Source organism: Homo sapiens, chromosome 9, assembly GCF_000001405.40.
Source record: "Homo sapiens chromosome 9, GRCh38.p14 Primary Assembly".
In the NCBI taxonomy this organism is placed as follows: Eukaryota; Metazoa; Chordata; class Mammalia; order Primates; family Hominidae; genus Homo; species Homo sapiens.
This window is the reverse complement of record NC_000009.12, coordinates 98,864,674-98,879,702: the sequence shown is the minus strand read 5'-3', so window position 1 is coordinate 98,879,702 and position 15,029 is coordinate 98,864,674. Positions and strand designations below refer to the sequence as shown.

Genomic DNA, 15,029 nt, shown 5'->3' with positions numbered 1-15,029 from the left:
TCCATGCTCAGCACTCCTCAGAAGGGAGCTGACTTCTGGCAGGGCACTTTGCTGCAAAGCAAGTCCCTGATCAGCTGTCTTCCACCCCTCACTCCCACCACAAAGAGCCCACAGCTCTTTGCGCTCAATGCTCCTGCACACTTCTAGTACTTTGCACAAGCTATTTCCTCTGCTTGGAATGCTGTTCCCTCTCTTCTCTTTCTGGAGAACCTCTATGCAGCCCACATGGATCAACTCAAGACGTAATCCTCTGACTCCCTTCCTCCCACCTTTCCAAGCAAAAGAGGTGGCTGCTTCTTTGAGTCCACCCATCACCCTGTAAACCCCTCCATGGTGATCTTGTCACATGGACTTGAGGGCATGTCTACATGCCCTCTGTCTCCCTTGCTAGTCTACAGCAGACAGTGTGTCTTAATCATCTCTGTATCCACAGTGCCTGGCAGAAAGCCTGGTACAGAAAATGAACTCAATAAGCGTTCAAAGTTTGGATAGAAGGAGAGGGGAGAAATGGCAGGAGGGAAGGAAAGAAGCAGAAGTAAAGAAAAAAAAAATTGGCTTTAGAGTATTTGCAAGTCCCTCTCTTCTTCCCTATTGATTTGAGCCTGTATCTGCCTCTTCTAAATAAAATGCCTCAAAAAAACTCATTGATTAGGCTGTGACAAGGCTCAGCTGAGCAACACATATAACACGGCGTATGCAGAATAGGAGTTCATCTCTCACTCACATGAAAGTCCTTCTGGCCAGATGTGGTGGCTCATGCCTGAAATCCTAGCACTTTGGGAGGTCAAGGTGGGCGGATCATGAGGTCAGGAGTTTGACAGCAGACTGACCAACATGGTGAAACCTCGTGTCTACCAAAAATACAAAAATTAGCCGGGCGTGGTGATGCGCGCCTGTAATCCCAGCTACTCTGGAGGCTGAGGCAGGAGAATTGCTTGAACTCGGGAGGCGGAGGTTCCAGTGAGCTGAGACTGCACCACTGCACTCCAGCCTGGGTGACACAAAGAGACTCCATCTCAAAAAAAAAAAGAAAAAAAGAAAGTCTTTCTGAGGAGGCTGAGGCAGCTCTTTGAAGTCATCAGGGGCCCAGGCTGCTTCTGTCTTATTGCTCTGCCATCCCAAGGGGCTGTACTCATCCAGGTATCCCAGATAGCGCCCCACACATCTATGCTCCATCCACGGAGCAGGTAACGAAAGAGGACACACTCCTCTCTTCAAAGGCACAACTGGAAATTGAGTACAAGAGTCCCTCTTATCTGTGGGGGATGCGTTCCAAGACCCCCAGTGAATGCCTGAAACTGCAGATAGTACCAAACCTATATACACTATGTTTTTCCTATACATACATACCTATGATAAAGTTTAATTTATAAATGAGGCACCGTGAAAGACTAGCAATGTAACTAATAAAATAGAACAATTATAATAATACACAGTAATAAAAAAATATGTGAACGTGACTTCCCTCTCTCTCTCTCGCTCTCTCTCTCTCTCTCTCTCTCTCTCTCTCCCCAAATCACTTACCGTTCTGGACTTTGGGTAACAGAAACTGTGGGAAGTGTGGATAAGCAGAGACTATTGCACGCTGCTTGCCCAGTCCTTCCATGTAGCGCAAGACAGGCTGGGAATTATGGTCTCATGCTGAGCATCTGCACACCAAGGTGAAAGTTTTATTTCCATGTAAAAGGGATGAAATGGATTTTGGAAACAACCAGAAATCTTTTCCAAAACAACAACACACAGAAAGAGAATACCCTTCCAAGCCCCAACATTGACCTTATACATTTCACCATCCCAACAAATCTGTGAGGAAACTGAAGCTCAGGGTGGAAATGCCTTTGGCTGAGGGCACTATGAGCAGTAAAGGAGCATGATTGAAAACCAAATATCTGGTATAAACTGGGATTTCCATCTAAAACCTCACAAATACTACAAAGAGGAAAGGGGAGATGTGACTGCACAGCTGTTTACAGGGAGACAATCTGGGAGTCTGAGTTGACCCCCAGCTCAGTGTATCTGCTGTGTTATGTTTGTCTCCAGAGCTACATTAATGGGGGCCAACATCCAGAACAAACGGGATGAGCGATCTGCTCTCCTTGGGCTGGCCAGACTGCACCTGGAATTCTGTGTTTTGGGGGCCAGCCCTTAATGAGAACAATGAGAAACAGGAATGGGCCTGGGGCCAAGACAGGCTGGGAAGGGTCTGGATGCCCGCCCTGCGAAGAAAGAGCCACAGCTGAACACCATGGAGAGGGGCGAACTCCAGGGGATGTAGATCCTTAGCTTCTCATCTGTGTCACAGAGAGGACATGGTGACCTCATTCCAGGTGGCTCTGAGGAGCAGAACAATGACCCATGGAAAGAAGCCACTGGGAGGCAGAGTCGGCTCCAATAAAAAGAGGTAACTGGGGTGGTGCACCGAAGCCCCGGGCAGGCACGGCAGAAAGTAAGAACTCATCCCCCAGGGTGTGCACCAAGGGCGGAGGTGCTGTAGAGCCTTCTAAGGCAGAATCTTGCACCTGGAGGCTCCTGCAGCTGAGAATGGTCAGGTGTGTCTATGTGTGTGTGCACACAGGTGTGCTCTCCTAGTGACAGGGGCCATGGCTCCCTTGAGGCTCTCCAAGGAGTTTGTGACTCAAACCAGGGTCAATGGACTGGCCCACTGGGTCCTTCCAGGGCCCCTGCCTGCTTTAAAATCCCATGACCAGGCCGGTCGCCATGGCTCATGCTTATAATCCTAGCACTTTGGGAGGCAGAGGTGGATGGATCACTTGAAGCCAGGAGTTCGAGACTAGCCTGGCTAACATGGTGAAACCCCATCTCTAGTAAAAAAAAAAATACAAAAATTAGCCAGGTGTGGTGGCATGCACCTGTAATCCTAGCTACTCGAGAGGCTGAGCCAGGAGAATCACTTGCACCTGGGAGGCAGAGGTTGCAGTGAGCCAAGATAGCACCAGTGCACTCCAGCCTGGATGACAGAGTGAGACTCTGTCTCAAAAAAAAAAAAAAAAAAAAAATCCCATGACTGCCAGTGTAGACGCACAAGTGTCCCGATGATGAAGAATAGGTAAAGAGAGCTCAGAGTGGCAGAAGGAAACTGGGGGCTTACCGGGACTGAAAATGGCTCTGTGAGCTCCACTCCCCAGAGCAGAGTGTGCCCCAAAATCCAACCGCAGGAACCACCCACTTGGCAAGCTTGGAGCATATGCTCCTCCCCTTGCTGAGGCTGGAGTATCTCCAGAACCCCATCTGCAAAGGGTCCAGGGGTTCCACATTCATCACACACCAGCCTTGGTGCCTGGTATGGGTGTGGCCTTTCTCCAGGACACCCCACCAGCCAGCAGGTGTCTTTTTGTTTTTCACCACTTCTTTTTGTCTTCTACAATTAGAGACCCTCTAATGGCCAGGCACCGTGGCTCACACCTGTAATCCCAGCACTTTGGGAGGTCAAGGCGGGTGGATCACCTGAGGTCAGGAGTTCAAGACCAGCCTGACCAACATGGTGAAACCCCATCTCTACTGAAAATACAAAAATTAGCCAAGTGTGGTGGTGCATGCCTATAATCCCAACTACTTGGGAGGCTGAGGCAGGAGAATCGCTTGAACTCGGGAGACGGAGTTTTCACTGAGCCAAGATTGCGCCATTGCACTCCAGCCTGGGCAATAGAGTGAGACTCCATCTCAAAAAAGAAAACAAAAAGACCCTCTAGTTTATTTGATGGCAATGCAGAATGACTTGTAAACCACTGTTCCCAAGCAGCAAGGCAAGGAGGTAGACAAGGAGGGGTGAAAATGGACCACAAACACCTGAGTCCTGGCCCCATCCCTGAATGACCTGGAGCATCCTCTCTTTCCTCACTGGGTCTCAGGTTCCACACCTGTGAGTGTGATGAGGAGCAGACTCTGTGGGGAAGCCGTGCCATGATGTATGTGTGTGCCTAGCCCAGTGCCTGGCACACAGAGGGACCTCAACAGTGTTTGTGGCTCACTTTGTACCTCTCAGGGCTGTTTGGGGATTAAGTGAAAAAAATAAGCAGAGCACCTGGCTCCAAGCCTGGCACATAGTGAACGCTTGATGACTTCCATTTTGTGCCCCTCCTGTGCACACCCGTGCCATGGGCTGAATCACGTCCCTCCCTGAATTCATACATTGACGTCCTAACCCACAGTACCTCAGAATGTGGCTGTATTTGGATACATGGTCTTTAAAGAGGTCATTAAGTTTGAGTGAGTTCATTGGGGTACCCTAACCCAATCTGACGGGTGGTGTCCTCATAAGAAAAGGAGATTAAGACACAGAGAAGCACAGAGTGAATGCCATGTGAACACAGAGACAGAAGGCGGCCACCTACAAGCCACGGAGAGAGGCCTCAGAGGAAGCCATCCCAGGGCACACCTTGATCTGGGAATTCTTGCCTCCAGAATTGCAAGAAAATCAGTTTCTGTTGTTTAAGCCACCCAGCCTGGAGTACTTGTCATGGCAGCTGGAGCAAATGTGGACACCCTGAACTTCTCCAGCTCTGTGCCTTTATCCACCCCGCAATGCTGTCCTGCCCAGTCCTGAGGCCCAAGGCATGCCCTGGAGGGAGCCTTAATGAGCCTTCATCAGAACTTCTCAGACCTTAATGAGCCTGAGAATCACCCAGGAGCTTGTTAAAATGCAGATTCTGCTTCAGTAGGTCTGAGTGGGGCCTGAGAGTCTGCATTTCTAACACGCTCCAAGGGAATGCCAGGGCTGCTGGTCCATGACCCACACTATGAGTAGCATGGTGCCAGATGGTGGGGGGGGCGTTAAGCCAGATGGGTGAGTGATGATGGGAAGTCCAGTGCTCCCTGAGTCGTGGGTGCTGATCGCAGCTCTAGCTCTTTCCACCCCTCAAAGTACAGGAGCTGGAAGAGGAGAAAGGAGGTGGCAACATGGGGCAGCTTTGGGTGACCTTCTCAGGGGAAATAACCACTTGTGAGCCCAGAGAAGCTCCCCTGGAGGACCACCTGCTTCTGCTGTCAGCGGGAAGTCACCTCCAAGCTCCTCTGGTCCTTTAGTCCATCACTTTCTTGACATGGATGGGGAGACTGAGACCAAGATTGGCTACATAACTTTTGGGGGTTGTGCAAAATGAAAACTGGAGGCATCTATTTCAAAAACTATGAAGAATTTCAAGATGGTAACAGTAGAGCATTATACCAAGCATGGGGCCCGTCTAGGCATGGGGCCTTGTGCTCAGGTGGCACACCTGTGAGGTAAGTCTAAGGCAGAGATGGCTTCCCAGTGAGCCAGAGCTCACCCAGCCTAACCTCAGGCCTCCTGAGTCCCGTCACTCCTCTTTCTATCAGTGCACCCCCTCACCCTTGCCCTCCGAACTTGTCTGCCTCCAGGGATCTAGCTGCAGCCAGGCAGGGAGGCGCTGGGGCAAGGAGGGAGTCCAAGACTTGGCAGGCTCCTTCCACCCCAAGCTTAGGAGGCCTGACCTCCTGGCTGCCTTCCCAGACCCACAGATTCCTCTGGCTCTGTGGGCCCAGCTCATCTGAGTAATTCTCTGCCACTTCCAGCTGATGGCACAGGGGTGGGAGATGGCACCCAGAAGGAGGAAGGGGCCCCAGACACAAGATATGCTGACCTCACGATTTAACACCCACTCTGCCCAGGCCACTGGCAACTGATGACAGTTGCTATTGCCTGATTGGCATGCATCTTCTCTTTCCTGCTTCACTGAGCCACTTCTCCCCATGCCTAGTTCAGGTAGTGCTATGTCCGTCCCTGCTCCAAAGGTGGGCATGGAATTCAGGTCCCTCTAATGCCCCTCTCCACAGTGGTACATCAGAGATAGGCCCTTGATCCAAGAGAATCTAGCAAAACTCAATACCTGAACTTTCACTGAAAATATTGAGATTGCTAGCTGTAAGAATGACGGAAGCCTGGAGCTTCCTGGAGTCCCTTCAGGGAGTAAGGAAGGCTTGCCTCAGAATGAAGCCAGCAGAAGGAAGCAGAGAAAAAAAAAAAAAAGCCCTAGGATAGATATTGTTGGAATCCTGGATCCAGCTGTGCCTGAAGTCCCTGACTTCTTAGTTCTGTGTGCCAATAAATTCCATTTTTGCTTACAGCTGGAGTTGAGATTTTGTCAGCAGCCATCAAAAGAATGCAGCATGGAAGTGTGATGGCTCACGCCTATAATCCCAGCACTTTGGGAGGCCGAGGCAGGTGGATCACCTGAGGTCACAGTTCGAAACCAGTCTGACCAACATGGTGAAACCCTGTCTCTACTAAAATACAAAAAATTAGCCGGGCATGGTGGTGGGCACATGTAGTTTCAGCTACTAGGGACGTTGAAGCAGGAGAATCGCTTGAACCCAGGAGGTAGAGGTTGCAGTGAGTTGAGATCACCCCATTGCACTCCAGCCTGGGCAACAAGAGCGAAACTCCGTCTCAAAAAAAAAAGGCAGCTTGGAATGTGTGCTCAGAGGTATCCAAGCTTGTCCATTCACACTTGTAATCCATAATGACCATGGATTCCCCAGATCTGGGAGACCTCACAACACAGTGGGAGTGGTGAACATGAGAAGAGTTGAGATCGTGAGTCACTGTTGGGCGTCCTGGCCTCCCTTCGAAGAGCACTCCTGGGTCTAGAAAGCCCCTTTTTCTTTGATCCATACAACAGCTCTACAAGGCAGGCAGGTCAGGGACTATAACTGATAGGCCAAAAGGGAAACTGAGGCTCAGATAAGGGAAATGAGTTGCTCAAAGTCATACTGGTAGTCAGTGGCAGAGCTGGGTGGAATTAACACTCACGAGCACCTGATTCTGTCTAGATAGCTCGCCTCTGTGCCACCAGAGCAGTCTGTACTCGGCTCAAGATGTATCTACAGAGTAAAGAAAAGTCCTCCACAGAGTTCACTTTGTTTTTGTTTTTTGTTTGTTTGTTTTGTTTTGAGGCAGAGTCTCACTCTGTCATCCAGGCTGGAGTGTAGTGGCGCGACCTTGGCTCACTGCAGCCTCCACCTCCCAAGTTCAAGTGATTCCCCTGCCTCAGCCTCCCTAGGAGCTGGGATTATAGGCACCCACCATCACGCCTGGCTAATTTTTGTCTTTTTAGTAGAGATGGAGTTTCACCATGTTGGCCAGGCTGGTCTTGAACTCTGTGAGTTCAAGTGATCCACCCGCCTCGGCCTCCCAAAGTGCTGGGATTACAGGTGTGAGCCAGCCAGAGTTCCGCTTGACTGTGACCTCACAATATGTTTTGGTAGTTCTTTCCCCTTTCCCATTCACTACAGCTTCCTTCCAAGCCAAAGGCCTTCCCTCCCAGCAGCAAAAGCAGTCAGAGGACGATGTTCCCTAGTCTAATCTGCTCTTTCCTTCCTTCATTCATTCAATCAATCATTCACGCAGCTGGCCAGCAGACACTGGATGACCACCCCTGGGCCAGGCCTTGTGGCAAATGCTACAGTAATGACCAGACACATCACACCCGCCTTCTAGAAGCCCTCCCTCACAAACCGGATCAACTGCTATGATAAAGGTAAGACAAGGAACAGTGTTGAGGAAGGCAGGAATAAACAACTACAGCAGGGTGGTCAGAGAAGGCTACACAGAGTTGATTGCACTGGACATCAGAGGTTGAGGAAGAATGTTCTTGGAAGAAAAGGTAGGAAGATCATGTCTTCCAGTGGAGGTGTGAGACAGCCTCGTCCATTCAGGGATGTGCAGGCGGAACAGGCATCTTCTTCCAGGGGGTGAGAGGTGGCAGGAGGTGAGACCACAGCCTCAGTCAGGGGCCAGGTCAAGGAGGACCTGCCAGCGGAGCTTGGGAGGTGATAAGGCACTGTACCATGGTTAGGTTTGCTCTTAGAAAGGCTACGCTGCTGGATGGGGAGGAGGAGAGATTGAAACGGCAAGTTTGAAGAGGAGGCCACTTGATGGTCACTGGCCATGGCTCAGGCAAAAGAGGACACAGGCCCGAACAGAGGCAATAGCAGTGGGGATGGCAGGGAGGGGACTGCCTAAAGGATTGAGAGCTTTTTGGTATTCCTTAGACGTGGGGAGTGAGTCGACAGGTGGGTCCCAGGTTTCTGGCTTAACTGGCTGAATCAGTGGTGTAGTCCTACAGTGAGAAGGGTGTAGCAGAACACTTTCGGTTGAAAATGTCTGAAAAACTAGTCAAACTGACCTTTAAAAAAAGGGAAGAGGAGTGCAGTGTTCATATAACTGAACAGTATGAGGGTCATATGATCAGCATTTCCTCCCCCCATCTCCCGACTCAAGTACTTTGTGCTGACTCCATTCTTGACAGCTCGTCCCATATCTTTTCAAGATGGCTGCCAGCACCTCTCTGAACTACATCCCTCCAGGTTTAAATTCAACAAAAACACACAAGAGCTTGTGTCCAAGCATTCCCATGAATAGTCTGAGATTTGCCCTGATTGGACCAGCTTTGGTCACATGCTCACCTCCAGCCAATCACTATGGCTTTGCTAATTGACTTAGACCTAATCCATGAGCTCCACCCCTTAAGCTTTGGTGGAGCCATAGAAACTGTAGGGACTAAGAGGCAAAGGAGTGGACCCCAAAGAAATACTCAGGCTCTTGCTAGGACAAAGGGAAAGAAATAGATGCCAGTGAGATAGACCAGATTTTTTCAGCTTTGTGGGCAGCACGAGAGAAAGAATAGTAGGTTAGGGGAGGACAAGATGACGAGTCCAGATTAGAAGGTGTTGTGTTTGCAGGCTCTGTGGTGCAAGCAGAGGAGATGGTCAGCAGGCAGTCGGGTAGAGAGAGACCCATGCTGGAGAGGGATCTGGAATTGCCAGTGTGTAGGTGGTGAGTGAGAAGCTGAAGAAGACAATAATGATGCAGACTTTGGAAACCATTCTGGACTCCCTGCTTCAGGAACTGCAAGTTTGATCTAGTAAAAGTCTCTTGCTTTCTTTGCTCTTTAGGATTAGGCAGTGGAACAGTCCTTGTGATCCTGAAGTTAGCAACGCCCTAGCCTCCTTCTTTCAACACCAGCTCTCACTTCTTGTCTTAGATTGCTTTGCACCTTCCTGTCCCTTAATTGATGTCAGGACCTGAATATATTTGATAGTGATTTGAAGCACTGATGCTACAAATGAAAGAGATTGATGCTGGGCCCTGGGACCAGGACATGTGACAGAGCCAGAGTCCTTCAGGGCTGATGGGCATGTGCTAGGACTGACACAGGCTAGCATCTCCCGAGAAGACGTAAGGACAAGCAACTCCAAATGGGGATGACATTGATGACTCTTCCACCTCTCCTGGTAACCTTCCCATGCCCATCATGTCGTTGCACCTCTGACAGTACTAGGAGAGGTGCCAAAATGAGGGACAGTACTTGGGAGGACACCAAAATGGGGGAAAGTTTGTGAAATGTTGCAATGGGAGAAAGGAACTCAGTGGCCCATGTAAATCTTGGATATGTTTGAGATGTGGCATTGCCTGTCTCTGTGTCTTCACAAGGATAATAAGCTTCTCCAGTGTTACTGTAAGCCAGTGTGATCCCTATCTTCATTAATTTTTGCCTGGAAACTCCTGGCCCATGACTATTGTAAAAAGTCCTGGCAAAGTGTGCCTAGCCAACATCCACTCTCCTCTACTTCCTTACTATCAAAACCTTGCATTTGTTTAGGATGGCAATGTGCCAACTAGAAAAGCCACACTTGACCGGGCATGGTGGCTCAAGCCTGTAATCCCAGCACTTTGGGAGGCCAAGGTGGGCGAATCACAAGGTCAGGAGTTGAGACCTGACCCCTTCTGTTGGCGGGGTGGAGGGGGTGGGGGGAGGGCAGTCCAAGGGTGGACCCTGTCTCTACTAAAAATACAAAAATTAGCCTGGTGTGGTGGTGGGCACCTGTAATCCCAGCTACTCGGGAGGCTGAGGCAGGAGAATTGCTTGAACCTGGGAGGAGGAGGCTGCAGTGAGCTGAGATCCCACCACTGCACTCCAGCCTGGGTGACAGAGTGAGACTCCGACTCAGAAAAAAAAAGCCACACTTAACCTCCTTTGCAGCTAAGAGGCAACATACATGGCTGGACAGTGAGATTGTGTTAATGTGGATTATTCCTCCACAAATATGCATTCTTCTCCTCTCCATTGTGAATAGAGTGTAAGTACTTACGCGTTGATGTTGAGCTTAGTAACATGACTTCCTTTGGAATGTTAGTGGAAGGAATAAGCAGAAACCTTTTATTTGCTTGCATAGTTTGGTTTCCTTCTTTTCATGATTCACCATTAGAAGAACCCACCCAGGTAATCACTGCTTGCTCGGATCCCAGCAAATTCTAGATCCCAGAACTAGTGCTCTTAGAGCCAAGGCCAGCCGATCCAAGTCTGGACTACTGCTCAGATGAGCCGAGCCTGAATTTGGGAGTGGTTGTTACAGAGCATTACCCTGGCAATAACTGACTGATGCAGAGATGTAAATAGACATCACTGGTGGAGCCCCCAGGAAAGCTCTTTAACAGAAGACAGACTCAGCTGGCAGGTTTCCCGTCTCCTTGAATGAAGACAGGCTCAATGCTTGGAGGGGTGAGAGGAGGCAGCCATCTTACAACCACAGGTCACAGGAAGACACTAAACAAGGCCGTGTGGAAAGACAGAAGGAGCCTCCATCCCTCAGCACCACAGAGACATTGTATCAGCCTAGAAATGCCTAAATCTGAACTTCCTCTTACCTAAGAAAAATAAAACCTCAATTTGATTCAATCACTGTTTTACAGGTTTCTGCTACTTCTGATATAATTCCTGATAGATAGCCAGGCACAGTGGCTCACCTTATAATCCCAGCACTTTGGGAGGCTGAGGCAGTCAGATTACCTTAGGTCATTATTTCGAGACCAGCCTGGACAACATGTTGAAACCTTGTCTCTATTAAAAATACAAAAGTTAGCTGGGCATGGTGGCAGGAGCCTGTAATCCCAGCTGCTCAGGAGACTGAGGCACGAGAATCACTTGAACCCGGGAGGCGGAGGTTGCAGTGAGCCGAGATCACATCACTGCACTCCAGCCTGGGTGACAGAGTGAGACTCTGTCTCAAAAAAAAAAAAAAAAAAATTCCTGATAGACACAGCTAACTATTGGTATTAACGCCACAACTGGCCAGGCATGGTGGCTTACACCTGTAATCCCAGCACTTTGGGAGCCCAAGGTGGGCAGATCACCTGGAGTCAGGAGTTCAAGACCAGCCTGGCCAAAATGATGAAACCCTGTCTCTACTAAAAATATAAAAAATAAAAAATAGCCAGGTGTAGTGATGGGCACCTGTAATCCCAGCTACTCAGGAGGCTGAGGCAGGAGAATCACTTGAACCTACGAGTCGGAGGTTGCAGTGAGCCAAGATCACCCCATTGCACTCCAGCCTGGGTGACAAGAGTGAAACTCCATCTCAAAAAATAATAATAAAATAAAGCCACACCCGTGTTTGAGATCCCCCAGGAAAAGCATGAAGGGTCACAAGCAGGTCTCATGGAATCCTGGGGAATGTGACTTAAGAATGCTGGAGAAGAAGCCCAGAGAAGTGATTGAGAAGCAGGGAGAGTAGATGGAGAACCCAGATGTGTGGTGGCCACAGGCCACAAGAGGAGAGTATCTCAACAAGAGACAGGGACAGACCAGGCCAAATGCAGCAGTGAGATTCAGGCACATGAGGAAGAAAACTTTTCAAAGGATTTAGTAAATGAGAGGTCCCTGACCTTGGCAGGAAAGGTTTAGTTCAGGGCTGGGGACAGAAGCCAAACCACACAGCCCTTTGCAGAATCCCAGCCCTCTGCAGCTCCCTCCGTGGGGGATGGACGCTTGAGGAAGGATGATGCAATGGGAGGAAACCACTGCTTGGCCAGCTGCAACCTTGTCCTCACTGCACAGACCATTTCTCCTCTTTGCCTCCAAGATGAAATCTAAACTCAGCTTGGCATCCAACCCTTGAAGATGTGGACCCAGCCAGGCTGTGGCCTCCCCTGCCCAGCCTCCCTTCTCCATATTGTAGGATCCCCCCTCCCCCCATTCCTGGCCTCCATGTCCACCCTTGGACTGCCCTCCCCTGCTCCACAGACTATCTGGAGCCTACTCAGCCTTCTGAGGTGGCACAAATGTCACCCCCTCTAATGAAGACAAGGTCACTCCTTTATCTGGGCTCCTTGCACCTCTCTGTATCTGCCTTGAATTATATTGGCCAGATTCAAGTGGGATTTGCTCCCCAGGGTGGGGACAGTGTCTGTGTTTTCCGTTCCCCACAGGGCAGAGCACACCGGTCTGGCATGAGCAGGAGCCAGTAGCCTTGTTGGGTGGCTATGGTGTGCCCTGCAAGAGTTTCCCAGGCCAGGGATACCAAGTGGGCATCTTCAGGGCCATGTCTATCTCCTTCCACTCCTACAGACCTGGCTTTAGAGAGCTCAGGAAGGAAGCAGAACAATCAACAGAGACACGTGAGGGCTTTCTTCTTCCCCTCTCCTCTCTGGAGGCTTCCCAGAGGGCAGCTGCTTCCTTTCTCTCTTGTTTTAGAACAAGAAGACATGATTGTGACCAAATTTAGAAAACAACCAAAAATTCAAATTCAACCCATATTTTAAAATCCATTTCAACAGCTCCACCCCACTAAAAGGAATGTCACTTCTGAGCAACGTGGGTGAGGAATCAGCAGCCGAAGTAGCAGCAAGGTGGGCTGTGGTGTCATGGATTTGGGGTCTGAGGGCTGGGGAGGGAAGAGGTCTTCCCACCAAGGACAGACAAACCCACCCCACCCGCAAATGGGAGGGATGATGAGGGAGAGCAGAGCCAGGCATGAGAGCAGATGGGCCCACATTCAAGGAAGTATCTTCTTGGCTTCTTGTTTCTGCCAATAGCTGGAAAGGATGGATGCTTCTGGAAGCCACCTCAGAGACCAACCACAGCGGATGGGCCCTCCTTAGCACAGAGCTACTTTTAGCCCATTGTTCTACTGTGGGGAACAGAGGGAAACCCAGGGAACGAAACAAACAGTGTCACCTGCCTTCTGTAGTAATAGTAACCAGGTATGGGATGTGTCGTGTGTGCCAGGTGCTATAGCTAGGAGGCTTTTTAAAAATATTGTTTCCAGGAATTCTACATGAGTCATGTTGCCTCAGAGATTTTTATGAGGGAAAAAAAGGTCTTTATGAGCCAGAATGAAAGAGATTAATTTGTCAGGAACAAATGTAAAAGTTTGCTTTGCAAGCATGGCATTCAAGGGGCAGTTCTGATAAAGCATCAGGAATGCTGCTGTGTCCTCTGGCCACCATAATAGAGATAAAGGGTCCAGAATAAAGGAGGCTCTCATCTCACTGAACTTGGTTCCCGTCAGCCTAAATGGGACCCATTCTCTTTGAGTCTCAGTTTCTTTTAAAACTTGGAGCTAGAAAATGCCTCCTTCATGAGGTTGTTGTGAAGATTAAACAAGGAATGTATGAGAATTAGTTAGCACTGTACCTTACAAGTAGTGCACACTTAGTAAATGGTAATAATCAGAAGTGCTGTTATAAACCTTGGCATTTAAATGGGGTTGAGGTTTTTTCCCAGAGGTAGGAAGAATCTGGGGACAGATGTTGACTTCATGCATCTGAACTTTTGTTAGGAAGGAGACTAATTCTGCCTTTTTCCAAGCAACAGAACTATGCTCACTGGGCAAAAGTTATTATCCAGCCAATTTCAGCCAAATGAAAGGAAGTGTGATCACGAAAAAAGACTGGAAGGACGTAATTCCAAATGGTGCTGTCTTTGGGTAGTGAGAACTTAAGTGGTTTCTTTACATTCTTGTGTAGTTTCCAGATTTTCAGCAGTAATCTTATATTTTTAAATAATCTGGGAAAATTAAAGTGTTAAAGAAAAAGAAGAATTTCACACACATCAGGAATGCTGTTATAGGAATGGGAAACCAAGCTGGATTTGAGATTCTACCAAATGTGAATCTAGTTTCCGAGCATCAGAAAACTGAAATCCATTCCCAACAGAGACAATGCAGCTGGAGAGGATCATGCTCCCGTCTCTTGGACCACCTCCACCTGCACCCTCAGAAGACAGAGAGCAGACACCTGACAAAGAACCAACTACTCCAATGGAAAGTGTTGCCGAGAGCCTTGGAAGTCTGTGAGATGGGGAGGAAGTTTTTCACCCCAGCATTAGGGCAAGGATTCCCTCTGGGCAATACAAAAGGATCTTTTCCATCCAAGAAAGCTAATTAGATAGATAGATAGATAGATAGATAGATAGATAGATAGATAGATGCCTGGCCTCATTCTTCAAAGTGTGGCCAATCTCACCAACACAGTGAGATTGGCTTTTAATTAAGAAAACAGCCTTGAGTTGGTTTCTAAAAGGCAGACTCTTAGAGTGAGAGGCAGGGGCAGGTGATGGGACAGACGTTGGAACTGGCAGCAGAAGACGTGGGTTCTGGTCCCAACCTTGGCTACCCTGGCTGTGTGATACCGAATCAGCCCCTTTGCTCTCTAGGCCTCTGGCTTCCCCATCCCTAGTGTCTGGAGGTTGGACAGAATGAATTCTAAGCTGCTATCCAGCTCAAAGTCAGCCGCTTGATGCCACAGGCCCTTGCCATACTTTCTCCCAAGACTCCGAGTCACGGCCCAATGGACCTAAGAAGCCCTTCAGCCGTATTTTTCTCTCCCTGCTTTTAATGAAGCCACATCTGGAGTGTATCTCCTCTGATCCCTGTTTTGTACAGTTCCTCACAGCTGGGTCCCCATAAATCAATTTGTTCTGCAGACAAGTTCCCAGAATTGTCCAGAATCTGACCCAGAAAAGGCAGTTTGATTTCCCTTCAGCTTCTGGTTGCAAAGGTTGTGCACAGAGCCCAGTCCACATCAGGACAAGCTCCCTGAGTCTTCCAAATCCTACTGCCCGCAGGGTTCTGCAGAGTGGCCGAAGTTCATCCTCCCTTCTCCAGGCACAAACTATGAACTAGCCTCTGGGGCCCCTTCCTGTGCTCTCTGAGGGAGCCGTGCCCTCAACTCCACAGTGAAAAGATTGGATAAAATGAACCCTAAACATCCC

At 49.2% G+C, this 15,029-nt stretch overlaps 1 long non-coding RNA gene across 3 annotated transcripts; it reads left to right on the top strand.

Moving 5' to 3' along the window:
• Window positions 1-2,369: 2,369 nt before the first annotated feature.
• LOC102724684 (uncharacterized) lies at window positions 2,370-10,715 on the top strand. Of its 3 annotated transcripts, XR_930168.2 has the most exons (3): window positions 2,370-2,401; window positions 7,385-7,514; window positions 10,246-10,715. It is a non-coding gene; the product is annotated as an uncharacterized LOC102724684 (long non-coding RNA). The 3 variants fall into 3 exon arrangements; XR_428583.3 differs by lacking the exon at window positions 2,370-2,401 and having other exon boundaries at window positions 7,270-7,514; XR_930167.2 differs by lacking the exon at window positions 2,370-2,401 and having other exon boundaries at window positions 7,270-7,514; window positions 10,213-10,715.
• Window positions 10,716-15,029: the final 4,314 nt, after the last annotated feature.